The following is a 19,570-nucleotide window of genomic DNA, read 5'->3' as shown; positions in this document are numbered from 1 at the left end:
ATAAACCTAGAGGTAAAAAATGCAGCTTGGATTGGATAATTTTTTAAAAGGTTCATTCTACTTTAAATTCATTCACTCATTTATACCAGCTACCCTGCCATCTACCTTCAACTTCCATCTCATAATTTCTTTCACATCCTTTTCCCAACCAAAGCTGCAGCAGCAGGTTCTGAGAAACACTCTCCAATTTTTCATGACCCCCATCTGTACATTCCCTTATACAGCCTGCTGCCATTTGGTTTCTTCCACAGCAGGACCTGTGCATCTAATTTTTCTGCTAAAATACAACGGTCCAGCAAAACCCCCACAAGAATGCCACCCTCTGTCTGCTGTGACCAGGACCGGCAATAGTAATAAATGACCATCATGGTCCTGCTGAGTCGGGAGCTGAAACATTTTTGAGCCTTTCTCTTCAAGTATTTCCTATACACACACATACACAGTTGGTATAAGTGTGATAAGTACCATAAGCATTAGAGACTGAGACCTCTGTTTTTCTATTATATAGATTTCAAAGAGAAATGCTTCTGATCGTCTTTCCCATCTTTCCAATCACAGTGACTTCTTGTGTAGCAATTGTATAATTAGATAGTTATACCTGTACAAATCTCAAGAAGGTAAATGGATATAACTCTAGTGTCATGGATTATATTGTCTCTAAACTCATGACTCAAATTCTCTATTATTGTATCTTTGTGCTAAAACAAAAACTCAACCAGAAGCATATTCTTCTCTTATTCCCTTTCCCCTTCCTTATTCTTACTCTTAATTCCTAGGAAAGATGTTCAACACTTTCTGATTCTCCAAGTAGTATTTTCTCTTACTCCTAAAACAATGAAAAACCCATTTCATAGTAGGTATAAATACATTTCATACGTACAGATATACGTGTTCATGTATATACATATAGCTTCATATAGATCCATATTCATATACATGACACTGTTCTTCTGTACGTGCCTTAGGAAGCCATTTAAATTATCACGGAGATTTGTACTGAAGCAGGACCACTATAGACAGTGGCAAGGGAAGCCCTTGTCAAATCCTGTTTTATAGGGTCTCAAGTGTCACATATCTATAGGAAATAAATGTATTAAAGACTACAGATGCCCCTACTACTCAGGATCAAACAGTCGGCACTGGCAACAGCATAACCTGTGACTCATGACTAAGGGCTTTCAGAATCCAAGGATACACTGTCGTACTTCTTTTGCCTTCTTTCAAACAAAAGGTGACGATGTCGGAATGTCGTGAAGGCTCGTGGCTTCTATTGCTGCCCAATTTAGAGATGGACAGTATTTCAAATGGCAGGGAGAATTGGAGCCGCAGATGTGCTTACCTAAGGAAATTCAAATTAACTTGTCAAATCCTTCTCTCAGATAGCAGGAATGCAAGAGATTTTATCATGACAAGGTATTGTTTCCCAGTGGTGCTGAGTGTCCATTTTCTTGCTTCTGTTCACATTCCAATTCATGGTTCCAGAACACTAAACAATTAGCACATCATGCACATGGCAGCTGAGAAACATTTTGCAATGTTAAAAAATTCTTATGAGTCTTGAATTTGTATGTATGTTGGTGTCGATTTAACAAGCATGCATTGTGAGACCACTTTCTTACAATGTCAACTAATGGAATGTGCTACAACTGTGAATAGTTTTATGTTTTATGAACATATTATATCAATTTAATTAATTTAATAAAAATTAAAGTTTTTCTTTTCTTTTTTTTTTTTTTGAGACAGAGTCTCGCTCTGTCGCCCAAGCTGGAGTGCAGTGGCGCAATCTTGGCTCACTGCAACCTCTGCCTCCTGGGTTCAAGCCATTCTCCTGCCTCAGCCTCTCTAGGAGCTGGGATTACAAGCACCCGCCACCACCACGTTTTTTTGTATTTTTAGTAGAGAAAGGGTTTCACCATGTTGGCCAGGCTGGTCTCAAACTCCTGACCTCGTGATCTGCCCGCCTCGACCTCCCCAAGTGTTGGGATTACAGGCATGAGCCACCAAAAATTTGGTATTCAATAATTATAATTTATATTTTGCATAGATAAATTCTGAATATTTAAGAGAAAACTTATTGAAAATAGTTTTTGATTTATTACATTTACTTTAATTTACATTATTGATAAATATATTCAAAATTTATGCATTTGGAATAAAATTATATTTTCTTGTTAATTTCTTAGACCATTAGTACCAATAGAACACTAATTTACTAAAGCCTTTATTATATCAAGATTATTATTTTGCTGAGATAAGACAAGAAAATTTGCTGACAATGTTATGTAAATACTACAGCTAAATCAAATTTTTCTGATATTGTCATTATGAAGATATATTTGTCAAAGTAGAAAGATAAAATACTCTGATTTATAAATTGTCACTATTTAGACATAGGATATTTACACTTCTGGTTTTTTTGTTTCTAAAGAATTGTCCATGTACTCTATGATTTTTAAAACTGTCTTCAAAGCCATTTTGAAAACAAGTGCTCAACGTTTTGGGGGAGAATTTTTATTGATTAGCTGCCATGAAATCACTCATCATACTTCTGGTAAGCTGCCATCTGAAGAGGCATGAAAAAGTTCCGTGGTGTCTGCTGAGTGTTCTCGGTTAATCCAGTCCAAATTATTAAGCCTTCATAATCCTCCAAGACACGTAATCAGATAAGACTGCAACTGATTTGAAGAAATCCTTAATTGCAGAAATCATCAAGCCTTGGTAAGTCTCAGGATCTCCAAAAACACCAGAATGTGGATTTTGGTGAAAGGTGGAAGATGGAAATGTGGGCAGGCTGGGAAGATAACAGGCAGTGACACAGTTGCCCTTTCTCCAAGCTAGAAGGGGCATTTTTAAAATCGTTTCCTAGGATCAACTTTATATTTCACAGATCTAATTATTTTGTTTGCTTATGTTGTGCTCCTGGCTGCATAGCATTAGTCTGCCTTCTGTCATTGCTGGTGGGTCTCCAGAGGGGTGTAAATATTAGGGGCTGATAGTTGATCTGTTACTACTGAGAAGATAAAGATCATTGTAAAGTCCTGTGTAAATGTGAGACAGAGACCTAAAGATTATTATTTTATTAAACATTGGAGAAACAATGATAGATGTTAAAGGGAACAGATGCATTTCAAATGTATAACTTTTTATACTGAAATACTTATTTTGTATTTGTGACATTTCATTCACTCATTATACCTCAACATCAAGTCATTTTAAGTTAAAACATGCATGTCTAGTAATGAACATCTAGTAATAAGAATAGCCAAATACAGCATGATTTTTGTTGATTTAATATAATAATAACCCAGAGTCCTACAATTTGTGTAGATTTTAAAATTTCTCCTTAATGCAGACTGCTATATTTGAGTTGGAATATTTATCTATGTGAGAAATAAAGCACACTTTTCTATAAGTTATAAGGTTTGCTTTGTTTTGTTTTCAAAAAAGCTTATTTAATCTTCAGATAAGGGCAGTATTCTACAAAATTATAGATATATTCTAGTATGTAAGAATAAAGTTGTATATTGTTTCTCACAGGAAAACCTTAAAACATTAAAACATGATCTTTATCAGGTTTTATATCTGTAATTAGGGGCTTAGACAAAAATCCAAGGACAGTGACAAATATCATATTTTTACTTTATTTCCTGCCACTACACTCATCTCTTTCTTCAAATAACCTTATTCATCTGCAGTAGCAAATATTATGGTCCTTTTCAAGGTTATTCTCAGAAGTACAGTTTTCATTTAATATGATGTAAATTTATCCTCAAATTTATTTCTTCCTAAAAAAATCTGCAATATCATTATCTTCAAGGTTAAGGAACTTAATTAGCGAGATGGGTGTGGCAGAATGAGCAGAGGAAAAATGATAGAGAAACATTTTTTTCATGTTAAGTAGAATTATGATTTATATAATTTAGTGGTACCTAATCTATGTAACCTGAAATATTCACATACAGTTTGATTCTTAATTTGCCTACATAAAAATATTGTTAGGGACCATGTTAGGCAAGGTGTACAGAAATAGGCTTCTGACCTTTCCACTCCCAAATGAATCTCTGCAATTTTCCAAGACTGAATATATTTTTTTAACTATTGATAAAAGGCTTTCTTCATTGTAGATCAACATTTATGTCCTCAGTTACACTAATAGACGGCTTTTTAATTTCAAACACTTATTTTTTTCTTTTTTACAAAGAAAAATATATATTAAAATAGGCTGAAATACTCATCCCAAGATATTGATGGATCTTATATAGATAATATTTACATGTTATATAATGGTTGGTTCTATTAAATATAACTTGCCATTAGGCCTGCATATTATTTTAAATGTGTCATTATATGTTTGGGTTCATTTTAGTTAGCTGCATATTATTTATCCTGTAATAAATGTTTAGTTCTTCTACAAATACTTTTGCATTCATAAAGTCATAAGTAGAAAGCAAGGAGGGCGAAGGGAAGAAGTTAGAAAGCAAAGGAATGATGGATGGAAGGAAGAAAGCAAGAAAGGAAGGAAGAGAGGGAGGGAAGGAGGGAGGGAGGGAGGGAAGGAAGGGAGGGAGGGAGGGAAGGAAGGAAGGAAGGAAGGAAGGAAGGCAGAGAGGAAGGAAGGAAGGAGGTATGAAGAGAGGGAAGGAGGAAAGCTTCAGGGACTATTAAGTGTATGAATGTGAACCAAGAGGACCAAAATTGCATTTGCAGTCAAAATTCTGAAACTCATACTAGCAGATCTAAGAAGTAAGGTTTCACACAGAACACTGCCTGAATCCAATCTATTTCTCTGGACTTGTCACATAACATATAATTACATCAGTTTGCCTATTTGCCATCAGTCTCCCTAATTAGCACAAGTTGGTGGATGGTGTTATAGCTTAAAACATGCCACAATGCTTTTACTTGATTGCCAGGACATCATCTACTTTTCTAACTATCCTGTCTTGCAGACTAAGACATAGAAATATCTCAATTTTAAAGCTTCACATCATGTTTTTTTACCCTTTATTATTGTGACCTCCCCAAAAAATAATGCTGCAATTGCTTATAACTTTAGTGTTTGTAAAATAATCTTTTTTAACATTTGTAACATTATTTAAAAATTTTTATAAACGTATTTTATTTTCTAAAATATATAAAAAGATTACATGTGAATTCACATAGCAGTTATTCTAATTATTATCATTCTTTTCAATGAAGTATATTAAAACGTTTTTCAATAGTTATTTTATGAATCTCAACAATACTCAGGTGATACAAATTGGTATTATTGCAAATCCCATTACAAAGAAAATAATAAAGTGTACTGCTTTACTTATACAGTAAGTCAGTCAGTACTGGCATCGGAAGTAGAGGGAAGTCTGTTACTAGAACTATAACAATAAAGAAATTTACACCATTAATCTAATCATGACGTTGGACCAAATATAGCAATATAATCCAGGCCTCTGCCAGTCTTCCTCATTATTGTACACAGATGGAGGGTATTGGATTTGTTAAAAACTTAAGACCAAAATGAGTGGGATTGTTTCTAACAGTACTTATAGATGTGATTTATAAATATAGTTGTGTTTCATACATATTGATGTATAAATACATGTTATTTATATATTTATACATATAGGTGTACATGATTTATACATATAGATGTGTTAAGCTACTATGCTGCTGAAGTTGAAATCCATTTGTGATAATGTTTTGCACATATCTGACAATATAAATTACATTAAGAACTTCATAATAATGTTTATGCAAATAAACTTACTTTTATGTAAGTTTATTTAAATAAATAAAATAAAGTTATGTAAGTTTATGTAAATAAACTTACTTTTATTTACATACTTTCTCTATAGTAAATATGTTTAACACTATCTTCTGAATATGAATGACCAGTAATTTGTGGTTTTCTCTTGGAAGCATATCTGTGTTCTTAGCATAATATAGCTTGATATGATCTTTTAGAACTGTTTCTCAAAACATAAACCACTTCTAGAGGAAGAATTTGACTTCAGCAAATTTAACAACCACTTTAAAATAGTAAAAGTTAAAAAGCTATGTAGAGACAAAGGTGTGAAGAGGAATTCCCACCCATACTTTCTTACTTTATATTTTACACAGTGTTCACCCTTAGAGATGACAAACACAGCTGATAAAAACTTAGTATAAAGGCTGAATCATGAGGCCAGGAAGTTAAAAGAAGCAGGTATCTTTGAGTAAGATATTTTCATCCTCAAATCAAGTCTACCAGGCACATCAAGAATATTTGATATCAGCATCATAATTTTGCGTTTTTGAATAAACTTTGTAATTATATTACTTGTAATACATTTTCCAAAGAAGAAAACTAAACACTGCCAAATGGTAAGATAATAATAATAAAAGGTACAATCCTATTATTTAAACTAAATTGTGAATATCTATATAAGTAAAAATGTTTGAGCATTTATTTATTTGGTTAGCATTTTCCTATGGAAGTGTATACATTGTTCATATTATGGAGAAATCTCACAGGAAGAACCCCACAATTGTCTTGGTTTTAACCTCCTTATACAGAAATTTAGATTTATATTTTTCTCTTGATTCAAATTATTTTCCCTCAGAATTCAAATTACATATATTTTCACAACTAAAATTCTGACTCACTTTTCTACTTTTTCCCCTTATAATTTATATTTTGGCAGGTTGAGCAATTGGTGTGGTAACTGCTCAATGCAGCCCTCCTGCTGAAATGAGGATCCTGCTGAAAGAACCGGGTAGTACACCAACCACTCACTTCGCCAGTTCACTTTTTTAGCAGAATAATAGCCACGAGTCAATGAGAAACTGCTAAAACTACTAATGTCTTCTCCCAAACAAGAAAATCAATCTCCGTAATGCAAGAGACCTATTTCAAAAGATAAAATTACCACACTAAATATTTTAGAGAATAAAAATACAAGCCACATTTAAAACCATTTTAAAAATAGCCATATTCATGGTGAACACCATGTACTCTTGCTATAAATATAAAAAATCTTCATGATAATGAATTATAAATTGAAAGGGGTTAATTTTTTGAAAAAGTAAGCCTAACAAAAAATAACTGTTCAAAATTATTCAATATATATTCTGTATAAAATAATTTTTAAAATTTTTTTTGCAATAGGAAAATTTGAAAATCAGACCTTAGCCAAAAGTTCAAAGTTAGCATAACTAATAGTGGGACAACTTGAAATTATGCAGCTCATAAAGCAATGCAATATAATGTATACACAATGATGTTTAATTTGAATCTAATTAAGCACTCAGACTTAACTTCTGGTTAACAAGATATATAGGGGATAAAGAAACAAATTAAACAGCACGATGAGAAAGTAATCAGATAAAACCCAAACATAGTACATTACACAAAACAAAAAGTTTTAGGCTGTCCAAAGGACAATATTATGAGAAAAATAAAAAGATGGTTGTGCAGGAGAAATTTAAAGACATTTAAGGAACAAGACAATCTAATGCAGTGTGTGAACTTATCCAAGTTTAGGGTGACATATGTAGGCTAAATGGGTTTGGATAATAGAGGACATTAAGGAGTCACTGTTAGTTTTTCTAAATTTGATAATGGCATTTTGGTTTTCTAGAAAAATGTATTTTTTGGAGATGCATGCTGGAGTATTCGAAAGTGCCATGGCTAGAATGTATGTGTCCCTCAAAATTCATATTTTGAGACTCAAGTTACAGTATTAAAAGATGGGGCCTTTAGAATGATTAAATCAGGAGGGTTTTACTCCTCATGAATGAATTAGTACCCTTATAAAAAAGGGCTTGAGGGAAGTAGCTATGCCCTATTTGTTCTTCTAGCTCTTCTGCTGGGCGAGATGAAAGCGTTCATCTTCTCCGGAGAACACACGAAGTCCTCACCTTGCAAGCAGAGACCAGGCCCTCCCCAGACACTGAGCTTGGTGGCACTTGGATTTTGGACTTCCAGCCTCCAAAATTGTGAGAAGTAAGTTAGTGTTATTTATACATTACCCAGTCGAAAGCATTTTGCTGTAGCAACAGAAACAGACTAAGACAAGGAGTATTATAAGTCTTAACATACTTATGTAGAGTATGTGTGCATGTGTGTGTGTGTGTGTGTGTGTGTGTATGAGTATGCATTTATATTTTCCAAAATGTTAACTACTGATGAACCTAGATGGAGAATGTACAGGTATTTGTCATAACATTTTGTCAGCTTTGCTTTTGTTTGAAGATGTTTATAAAACATGTTTAGAAACAAGTATTATATATACATAGATATACACACACACATATAAGTATACATATACAGGTAAGTGAATGTTAATTTCAAAAACATTGCTAAATAAACAAATAATGCCATTCTTATTTCAAAGCAAAAATAATGAAGGAACTGCATAACATTCTGTGAGGTGTTGGCCTTGAATCTACAGCCATGTTGTTAAGTATCCCAGTTCCACTGTCTCTAACTTTCCTCCTTACTCTGCTGTTGGCATTGTTCTCCGTGCTGAGATATATCCACTTACTTTTGCCTTCTTCTGAGATGTTGATAGGACGGTTAATCAATATTTCCTATAGTGTAAAGAAGCAAATAATCTTCTAGAATGATTTGATTTCATACTTACTTCAAAATACCCCTATTTCTAGGTTCTTTTCCAAAGGAAAAACAATGGCTATGAATTTAAGACAGTTGTCTACATCACTCAGAAGGAGTGTGCCCCTATTGGAAATCAACAAACTTTATTTATAAGACTAGTTGTACTTTTGGATCACTTTAATCCTTACAACCCAATCAAATCTGGATTACCTAATGAAATTGATTATATTTGAAAACTTATTGTGGAATTCTGGTGAAACACTCCCCCTTTCTTCCTTTCTGCTCCAAGCATTTATTGAGCATGTACTATGTCTCAGGCGTGGTATTAAGAACCTTATATCAAATTGAAATATTGAGTTATTTATTAATTTTTGTCTCACCCTTCTCCTTCTCTACTCCTCTTTCCAGCCTATTCATTGACCTGCTCAAGTAACATATCTCTCCAGCCAAATTTTAAGTAACCACCTTCCTTTATTACTGTTATGGAAATAAAATACTTTAAGAAACAGAAGCTTTGGGAGGCCAAAGTGGGCAGATCAATTGAGGTCAAGAGTTCAAGACCAGCCTAGCCAACATGGTGAAACCATGTCTCTGCTAAAAATACAAAAATTAGCCTGGCGTGGTGACTCAGCCCCTGTAATCCCAGCTACTCTGGAGGCCTGGGCACGCAGGAGAATCACTTGAACCTGGGAGGAAAAGGTTGCAGTAAGCTGAGATCACACCACTGCTCTCCAGCCTGGGAAACACAGTAAGAGTTTGTCTTAAAATAAAATAAAATAAAATAAATGGAAAATTTCTTTTGCTGCATTTAACAATAAAATGATAAGAAAACAGGTAACCCTCGCTGCTTCTATCAAGAATTACAGCATGTGCCTTACTCCTCAGGCTTTGAGAGAGGGTTGAAAAGGAAGGACTCTTCATGTGGCATGGGGTGTAACCAACAACTGTGTGAACAAACCCCGGAGGGACTGAGAGTCCCGTGCCATTGAAAAGTGGGCAGGCAGACCTTTCGTTTCTGCTCCACAGCATGTATGTGGATAATTAATGTGGCAGGTGTGCTTGGCTGACTAACCAACAGGCATGACTTTCCTTGTTTCTTGATAAGAGAAGTTTAGTTCTGCATTGGACCTCCATGTGCTTTATGGAGAGCTAGTTCCCTACCTAGACCTACTGACTGGATTATGATTAATTAAAGCCAATTACTATAATCCCATTCCCTTTACCAATAATTGATTTTGGCAAGGGCATAAGGAGAAAATATAATCAATGATTCTGTAACAGATATCTTCTGAGGGACTGCTGGGAAAGGTTTTCCTCATGGAGGAAATATATGCAGTGAAAGTAACATTCTTATTTTTCTGTCTTGGATGTCATTTTGGTACCTGAAACTGAGACAGACAACTCCTAACCATAAGGAACACACCCCTGAGGGCAAGTCCACATGCTTAGAGAGCAGAACAGGAAGATGGAAAGGATGTAGTTTCTTGACATCCCTGAACTGTTGAAATAACCAAACTTGGAATTACCCTACCTCCAGAATCATTAATGTGAAATAATAATTTTTTCTTATTTAAGACATCTGAGTCAAGGTTTGTTGTCTGGCTATAAAAGTACCTTAACTGATCTAACTAAGTGAAGGAGGCAAAAAACATTTTGCTGCTCAAAAATTTATGTCTTAGGACTTAAACATAGTGAAGTAATCTGCTGCAGACCATGTAGAAAAAAGGAAGTAGTTGGGAAGAAAACAAGACCTATATGTTAGGTCAAAAAAAGACTAAGTGGACTGATCAGTTAGTGAATCAGTATGGGGAGATAGAGCTGAGCAGAAAATCACGGTGTCAAGAGAGGACATTAGTCTGCCAAACTTGAGATCATGTAAAGCACCATGGCTGCCAAGGTGAGATAATGAGGTATCAAGATATAGGAAGATATTAAGATATTCTCATATGCAGGTGACACTTAGTTGCATGGGGAAGCAGGCAGATGCTTACCATCTGAGACCTCAGATCACAAGAAGCAAGTCCTCAATTATCCAACCAGAGCTCCGGGCAGTCTTGCAGTCTATACAGGGGTCACTGGGATTAGATAAACAGGTAAAACCTCTGGGTTGGAAGTGAGGCTTAGATACTCAGTCAATTTGGTAATACAGAAGGATGAATTCTGATTTGGGGACAACGCAAGTTGTTAAATGTCTTCCTTTGAAATGTGATAGGACGGATGAGCAGAAAATCATAGGTATATTATGAGAAAGTTCAGTTATGCTGGGATGTTCACTCACATTTTGAAGAATGAGGGATAAAGATCAATACACAAGATGAGTGAGGAGATATCATTTACCTGGGCTATGATTAGGAAATGGACTTTGTAGTACCATACTGTGCTGGGGATGATAGACACAGTATTCAAAAATGTGGCTGGAAGGGGTAATGGGGCCTTCTTTGATCATGTCTGAATACATCAGAAGGTGTCTGGCTGTCAGGAAGTGAAGAGACTGAAAGAAAGACAGCAATCCTGGACCTGAGTCCATCTCTTGGCAACAGAGGAAGTTATGTCTATTCTCACAATAAGGCAAAACTATGTCAAGCCTCATAGTCCCATCGAAGTGCTCTCTATGAGATCCAGAGGCTCAGCCCAGTTACTGCCCTAAAAGTCACAGCAGTTTCGCAAGTGCCTGTATACTTTACTGGCAGCAGTAGATATTGGGTCCATTTGATAATAAAAGGGATAGAGGAAACAATGCAGAAGCTCCACGAACATCAATGAGCCACTAAGTTCATGCCTTAGAGGCTGTGGGGGACGTAATATTGATGGCATGTGGGGGTGGCATATCATCTTTGCTTGTGTAGATTCAGAGCTCAGTCAAGAGGACTTGCAACTGTTTTGCGCAGACCTGGATGGGGCGGTGGGAGGTAGTGTTGAGGAACTGAAACAGACAAAAGCTGCGGTAAAGGGAGCTGCCACAATGCCTGGTGCACTTTTCATCTGAGTTCCTAGCAGATTGTCTGGCACACAGCAGCTGTTCAATAAATAATTGTTGGATGAATGTTTCAATTAATCGAGGACGTTTGGTAGCATGTGATGATCTAAGAGTAATATTTCACAATGAGAAGTCCAAGTTGATTGCTGTGTTCCACAAGCTGACCTTAAGTTTCTTGGCCACTGTATCTTCAACATTTTAAACTGGCCATATTTCTTATTTTATGAAATGAAATAAATGCTAATGTGCTAGCAAGGGAATGTAAACAAGTGTTGTTAGACAAATTCAGTGTGACTAAAAAGGAACTGTAGCAGGTGGATGCAAGTGAGCCCAATTAAGATATATTTGCTTTTGTGCCACAGATTCTATGCTTTTCCAAATAGAACTGTTAGATGCTAAGCAAATGGGGACTATTTCTGACTCATACTTTTTTTTAATCTGTGGGAAATATATTTTCTCATCGATATTTTCTGCTGTTCTCTGTTCAAACTTTGCTTTTGTGATGCTTCCTTTAAAGACTTTTTGTTCTTTCTCATTTTGCGCCATTGTTTATGCTGAATTTGTTGTTGTTGCTTTTGCATTTACATTCCACAGAGAAATGGTACTTAACAGCATAAAATCCCAGAACTGCATCAGAATAAAAGAGGTGATTTATAAACACATAATAGTCATTTTTGATACTTTTCATCATTAGTCAAGCTGAGAGAACAAATTGGAATTTGAGCTTCTGGTGGGCTTTCTGAAGGGATCCTCAGATAAATGTAGCCAAAGATAAAAGATAATTCCAATTAAAAGATAATGGATATTATGCACAATTATGGCTGTGGCCAAGTCAAAACACTTTGAAATTAAATGTCTTTGTGAGAGAAACCACAGTGTTAAATAAAATAATCAACAGGAATTTATTTCTACTTTCTTTGCTAAATCTACTCACAGGCTCATTCCCTATTGTGGTAGGAAGTTAAAATTATGTTAAAATAAAAGGAAACAAAACTTCCCAAGCTAGAATAAAGGCTAGAAGTTAAACGGACATAGTATCAAACTTTTCACGTAATATCATTAATTGCATTTATGTCTATTTAATTTTGATTGTTCAGAACCCCAAACCAGAAGCCTTCTGCGTAGTACACAGCATTTCACCCTGATGACAATTCCTCTCTAAATTTTCCATGTGCACTTTACCTTAGCTAAATATCTCATGTATTGGGAATTATGACAAAATATGCTATGGAAGAAATGATGGGGTTATCATTTTAAATGATATACTATCATAACACCAGTTCACAGGCCAATACCTGAGACTCACAGAATTGTGAAAAAGAGAGGAGAGCAAAATTAGAATAACAAAATGAGTAAAACAAGTGTACCATTAATTCAGGCAAAATCAATACAGTCTAACGACTCGCTGAAATGAATGTGACCAGTGGAGATCTTAAGAAAATAATTTTAAAACTGTCTTTCTTCCTTGATAGCATGTTGAACATCTGATGTTACAAATGGTAAAATGGGACTCCTGTAATTTCATGGGAAATTTGTTATTTTAGCATACAGTTTCACCAAAAAAAAAAAAGCAAAAACAGAAATATGTAGATGAAATAGAGTCAGAGATGATCATGAATTATCACCTCATGTTTGATTCAACTTAAAATCCCACAGTCTTCTCAGTCTTCAAGGCAACTTAATCCTTTGTGCCATGGATCTTCTCTATGTACCAGGTGAACAATTTTACCCCTGTGACTCTGTGGCTAGTAGCTGCAGTTTATCAAAAGTTGTCACCATAGAAAAATAAGTCAGATCACTCAGCATCTTTTTTCCCCCCCACTATTAGGGCCCTGATGCGTCAGGTAAATAATATGAGGGGCTGCTATGTGGCAGTATGCCTATTAATTTCGTTTCATTGTTTTTGTTCAGTCTCCCAATTTCAAAATACATGGAATGGGAGAGAGGATTTGAAATTAGAGCTATATCTCAAGACACTTCCCAAATTGGGCTTGGGGGACATTTTGGAACAGGGTACAATAGGGCCCCTAATGTTTATTGCTCCCACTGCAAAGAATACAATTAAGGTCCCTTAATGTTTATTGCTCCAGCTCTGAAAGAATACCATTAAGTCAGATACATCACCTGATGGCAGGGACTGCTCACCAGGCTGCATTTGGAAAATCGTGTCAGGAACCTTTCTTTAAACAAATCCAATAACATGATAAAGTGGCAGCCTACCGCCCCCTCCACCAGCATCCTGGACACTCCGTGGCAACCTTAATGGAATTGCATTAATATTCATGATTCATGGTCTACAAAACAAAGAAAGAAAGAAAAATGAAGAAGAAGGAGAAGAAAAAAAAGATCCACCACCCCCTGTATGCTCTGCTGTATTAGTGTGCCTAACGAGAATGAATTAAAACCCAGCTGAGACATGACCCTAAACCTCTTGCTTCCTCTTAACTGTCAATTTGGCTTTCCATAGCACTGTGATCAACTGCATTCTAAGTGGAAGTTGACACTGGCTCAACTTTCTGCCAATGCAGGTAAAATAGAATGGGAACTGCGTGAAACTCAATGCTGATGTAACCTGGTTCTGCACCATTACCCATAATCTGTGTCTTCAGCTCTGTGCAGCTCCAATTTCATTTCTTTAATAGCATGGGTTTTGATAAGAATCTTCCTTTCCCTCCCCCTCCCATTGCCAAGTTCCCTTTGTGGTGTCATTGCTAACTTCCCACACAATGCAAGTTCATTTCTCTAAGAAACTCCCATCAGTGGTCTTTAATAGCAGGTTAATGGGCTGTTAAATCTCAAATTTTCCAGAATGATTTTGTTACCAGGAGCCTTCCTCCTGTTTCTGGTGTGGTCAATAAGAGGCTTGTTTTAGAGGCACTTAATGCTTCACACACTAAGGGGATTGTGCCCCAAATCAGACAAAACAAGAGATACTTTTTATTCCCTTATGATAACAACACCATTTTAGTAGAATATCTGTGGGTCTATTTGTTATTCCTACATAAATCAATAAAGGCTCTGAAAAATACTGGAAGCTTTGCCAGCTGTGCGCTTACAAATATTAGATGAGAGGGTTCACAGACAGCAGATCATCCATAAGCTGATTCTCAAACCTGTGTTGTCATATGCTTCATGACTTGCTTCATTATCTGCCACTGCTACTTTATGTTGGCTATTTCTTTCTGAACCTCTCATAAACAAAATCCTTAATGATATATAGCTCAAGTGAATTCATTTACCAAAAAAATAAAGTACAGAGCAAGGTTATTTATAAACCAGAAAGCCAGGTGCCTTGCTGCAGGATTTCTGTGAAGTGAAACAGCCTGCTGGAGTTTTTCATAATTTCGAAGTGAATAGATGCTATGGATAATTAAGAACTCAACAAAAGCAGATTATACATTCATTTTCTCTGAGGATTTTTAAGAATGGTAGGTAACTATAAGAGCTATGATAATTAGAATGGGTGGCAAATAATAAATGACACAATACAGCACTTTCTATGTGTACACTTCTTGGTCTTATGCTTTTTGTTAATACTTCATTATACTAAAATAATTTATCACACTTTATTATTGAATGTTTAAAACAAGTGTTTTTATATGCTAGTGTTTAACATTTATATTAAGGAACTTACGTACAAGTTTTATAGACATAATATTATTTCCTTCTACTTGACTACTATACACATATCGTCATTTATTTAGGATAAAATGGATGTTCTTATTCTCTAGAAACTTAAAATCCAGTACAAGAAAATTTTACAAGTCACAGATGACTAAAGTACAAAATTAAAACCTCAAAAAAATCTGAGGCATCATTTTTCCCCCTTTCATTGTCTTGTTAATAAATGAGGTATTGTTTAGGGTCTTGCCAATAGTCAGAGAATAGGCAGAAAAGTATGACACAAGCATAATAGAAGATGATTTCTCATTTACATAAGAAATCAAAGCAGGTCAATATACTGCATTTAGAGATTCAAAGATCTCTGAATGCAAGATGAAGATATTTTTCATCTTATGGATCCACCATCCCTTAAGACCTCATCATTTGGATCTATTTTACAAAAGGGGAAGGGGATGGAGCATATTGCATGCCTGCTTCTTAAAAGCTTTGAAACAGAAATAGCACATATCAGTTTCACTCACATTCCATTGGTTAGAACTCAATAGCAAGGATACAACTAACCGTAAGAAAAGGCAGGAAATAGATCCTAGTTGTGACCTGAAAAAAAAAAGAAAATTAATTCTAGTGAAGAGACAGTTAGTGCTTCCATTTATGGTTAAAATATTGTAAAATTAGAAAACTCTGCTGGATCACCTCTAATTAACCCTCTAAATAGGACTCCTTGAAATAGGAAACTAAGAGTTCTTTAAAAGTGAGAAGACAAGAGAAATTCCATGAAGAGTAGACCAGGAGTTGAAATCTGAGAGTATAATAGGACAAATAAAGTAGAATACAAAATTTAATTACACACCTTGGGAAGTGAGTATTAGGGAGAAAAAGGAAGTAAACAGTGGGGAATATTCAATACTGTGTTGTCTGGGTATGAATGGCAGAATGACAATGTTGTGTTGTCAGTGAGGGACTTGGTCCCTATTGATCACAAGTAAATAATTAATATGACTGAGAAGTAGCCCCTCACCAGAATCATCCTTAATAATTCATTCATAGCAATGTAGTCTTTTTTTAGCATGTGCCTCTAAACTCTTCCACCCTCCACTCATTCTCCAGTTTCAAAGTCACTTCTACATTTTTAGATATTTATTTTAACAGCATCCCACTCTTGTTACCAAAACCTGTATTAGTCAGACTTCTCCATATATTAATATATATAGAAGATATTTATTACAGAAATTGGTTCAATGTGGTTATGGAGGCTATGAAGTCCCACTATTTGCTGTCTGAAAGAGGGAAAACCAGGACAGCTGATGGTGTAACTCAGTTTGAGTCTGAAGGAGACTGAGAATTGGGAGGCCGATGTTATGTATCCCAGTCTGAATCCAAAAGCCTGAGAACCCAGAACACTGATATCTGCGGGCAGGCAGGAGAAGATAGACATCTCAGCTCTAGCAGAGTGAGTGAATTCAACTTTCCTTTCCTTTTGTGCTATTCAAGCTGGTGGATAGCTGTGGATTATGCCTATCCACATCAGGGAGGACCATATACTTTACTCAGTTTACCGATTCAAATACTAATTTCTCCTGGGAACACCCTCACAGTGAACCCAGAAATAATGTTTTCCCAGCAATCTGGGTATTCTTTAGTTCGTATGAGTTGACAAATAAAATTAACCATCACATCCACAGAAAAGTAATTTTAAGAAGAAATATTGGAAAGTCATTTTTATTGATAGTCATTATGAGATGTGTCATCTTTATTGATAGTCATTATGAGATGTGGTTTTGTCAGTCAGTAACTAGGTGGAGACAGAAATCACTGAAAGAGATAACACCACAAACTTGAAATGGCAGAATGCTGAGAGGCATAAATGTAAACATGGAAGAATCCTAATGGTGATAAAAGAATGAATCCACCAGGAGAGACTGCTACCACAAATATGGCAGTGGGGAGCAAGAAAAAAGTCAACCCCACATTTGGATATTTGGGTTGAAAAGAATATACTCTAATGGAGATAGCTGTGAGGAATGAAGGCTTATTAGGGTCAATTTTTTTTTTGCCATATTACTGAAAACAGAATTTGGAAATGAAATTTAAAATCCATGACAATGAAATTTAGGACTCATTTCATATTTCTGTTGACGAAGGTAGTGAATAAAACAGTAAGTGCAGGATAAACATTTTAAGTTAGATGTAATAGACCATGTCTTAACTCATTTCTCTAAGAACTCACAAAATGAAACTTACTAATAGGCATGGCATTGCCTTAAGAGAAGAAGATGGCCAGGCACGGTGGCTCTCACCTGTAATCCCAGCACATTGGGAGGACGAGGCAGGCTGATCACTTGAGGTCGGGAGTTCAAGACAAGCCTGGCCAACATGACGAAACCCCTGTCTCTACTAAAAATACAAAAATTAGCCGGGCGTTGTGGATCACGTCTGTAACCCCAGCTACTAGGGAGGCTGAGGAAGGAGAATCGCTTGAACCCGGGAGACAGAGGATGCAGTGAGCCGAGATCACGCCACTGCACTCCAGCCTGGGGGATAGAGTGAGACTCTACCTCCAAAGAAAAAAGAGAAAGATAACAAGGAAAAACAAGATATAAACCCATAAGCAATGTTTCTGTCTTTAAATCTACTCCCAAATCATAACCTTAGTTAGTATTCTTTGCTAAGATAGTGTTTACTGAATCTAATTAGTTATGACAAAATGATGACAGGAAAATATAAACTTATTTTTATTTACTAAAGGCATAATAAAAGCAGCTGTGTTACTTATTTTTAGTCACCCTTAAGACTATAAGTGTCTGAAGCAGTATAATAAAGTATTTGACTAATTAATCTTTGTTTCTGTAAACTTTACATGTATAATTATAGCTTTTAGTGATAGCACGAAGAAGGCTCAGAGGGGCTGTCCTGGATACGTATAAAGTTTGGTGGGAGTAGAATAATGAGTCGAAAAGTTTGAAGAATCTGGGTGTACTATATTCTGTGAGTATACAATTTATACTCACAGAATATATACACAGTATAAATACAATGATTGTATTTCAATCAGTAACTACCTACACGTATGTAGGAACAAAAATTAGAACTCAAATCTACATGACATAAGGAGAAAGGAGAAACATTTTTATAAATATTTTCTGTTATCTGCAAGTAAGAAATATTATTAAAGATTACAAAGAAAGAAGAAAGAAAGAGACAGAGAAGGAGGTAAGAAAGACATTACATTCCTAATAAACATAAGGTTTGTCACATTTTACAAAATATTTGCACACAAATATGTAAAAGCTGCACTAAGTTTGGTGGATAGCAATTTGATTTTCCAAAAGAAGATAAATTTTTGAATGTCCCATGTTCTTTTATGGCCTTTTGTATCATGTAATAAATATTTCCTATAAATAATTTACTAATCATCCACATATCACTCTATGTCAAATAGGCACTTGATACATATTTATTGAATGAATGAATTATAGGTAAATATAGGTTTTATTTCAAAGAGGATATATAAAATAGTGTAAGACTGTGAACTCCACCTGACACTTTATTAATAGTCATGCCCTTTCTTACCCTTCAGAAAACATTTCACTAACCTTTCTGTGGGGAAGTAGAAATTAGATTTATTAGTTTTCAGTATTTTTTCAGTAAGAATTGCTGTGGAGAAAAAAAATAAGAACAGACATAGATTCCAAATAATATCCTGTTGGCTACTTAATAGTAAAAGCAACCACCATATTCAACTCATGTATGAAAACACAAGCTCAAGGATGTGAAAGCTGCCTATAGAAGTCCACAGAGATGCACTGAAAAGTTGAATGCACTTGTTTTCTCTCCATGAAGCTGGAAAGAGACTGACTTAAGACTCGTTGCTTAGCAGAACCCTGGAGTAGGGTAGGAAGAAGAAAGCAATGTCACAAGCAGACAGGCAGTCCCAGGACAACGCTTTGGTATAAGGAGGTCAACAGAAAGCTGGACCAGACAATGGCACTTCAGTCACATTCTCACAGTGATTCTTGTGCGAATATACAGGAAGTCATTTAGTTTGCTATATTTCATAACCCTTTTTAGTGTCTCTGCTCCCTTCTACACTTATATGTCTGTTTGGTTTTTCTCCCTTTTCCACATATTCAATGCAAATTGCTGTAAATGCCATTGCTGCCCATTTCCCCGAAGCCCCAGTTCTGCTTGTGGCACCGGCTCACTCATCGCTTATTCATTTATGAGGCCCTCAGGAGGCAGAATAAGCAGACTTTCATATACCAGTTTTAAGGTTTTGCTGCATTCAAACATTTACTAATGTTACATTTGGAAATGTGTATTTGTTAGCTGCTGGTAGTCCTTGGTGGTCTTATTACAAGTGTCATTAAAGCATCATA

The 19,570-nt window shown here is 35.6% G+C and overlaps 1 long non-coding RNA gene across 1 annotated transcript in view; it reads left to right on the top strand.

Moving 5' to 3' along the window:
* Positions 1–2,600: 2,600 nt before the first annotated feature.
* CASC6 (cancer susceptibility 6) overlaps positions 2,601–19,570 on the top strand; it is a 61,389-nt gene continuing 44,419 nt past the window's right edge. The window contains exons 1-2 of the long non-coding RNA NR_104154.1: positions 2,601–2,718; positions 7,837–7,981. This is a non-coding gene — a long non-coding RNA (cancer susceptibility 6). The remainder of the gene's footprint in view (positions 2,719–7,836; positions 7,982–19,570) is intronic.

The sequence above is a fragment of the Homo sapiens genome, chromosome 6 (genome assembly GCF_000001405.40).
Source record: "Homo sapiens chromosome 6, GRCh38.p14 Primary Assembly".
Taxonomy (NCBI): domain Eukaryota; kingdom Metazoa; phylum Chordata; class Mammalia; order Primates; family Hominidae; genus Homo; species Homo sapiens.
The sequence above is the reverse complement of the archived record's forward strand: the minus strand, read 5'-3'. Positions and strand labels throughout refer to the sequence as shown.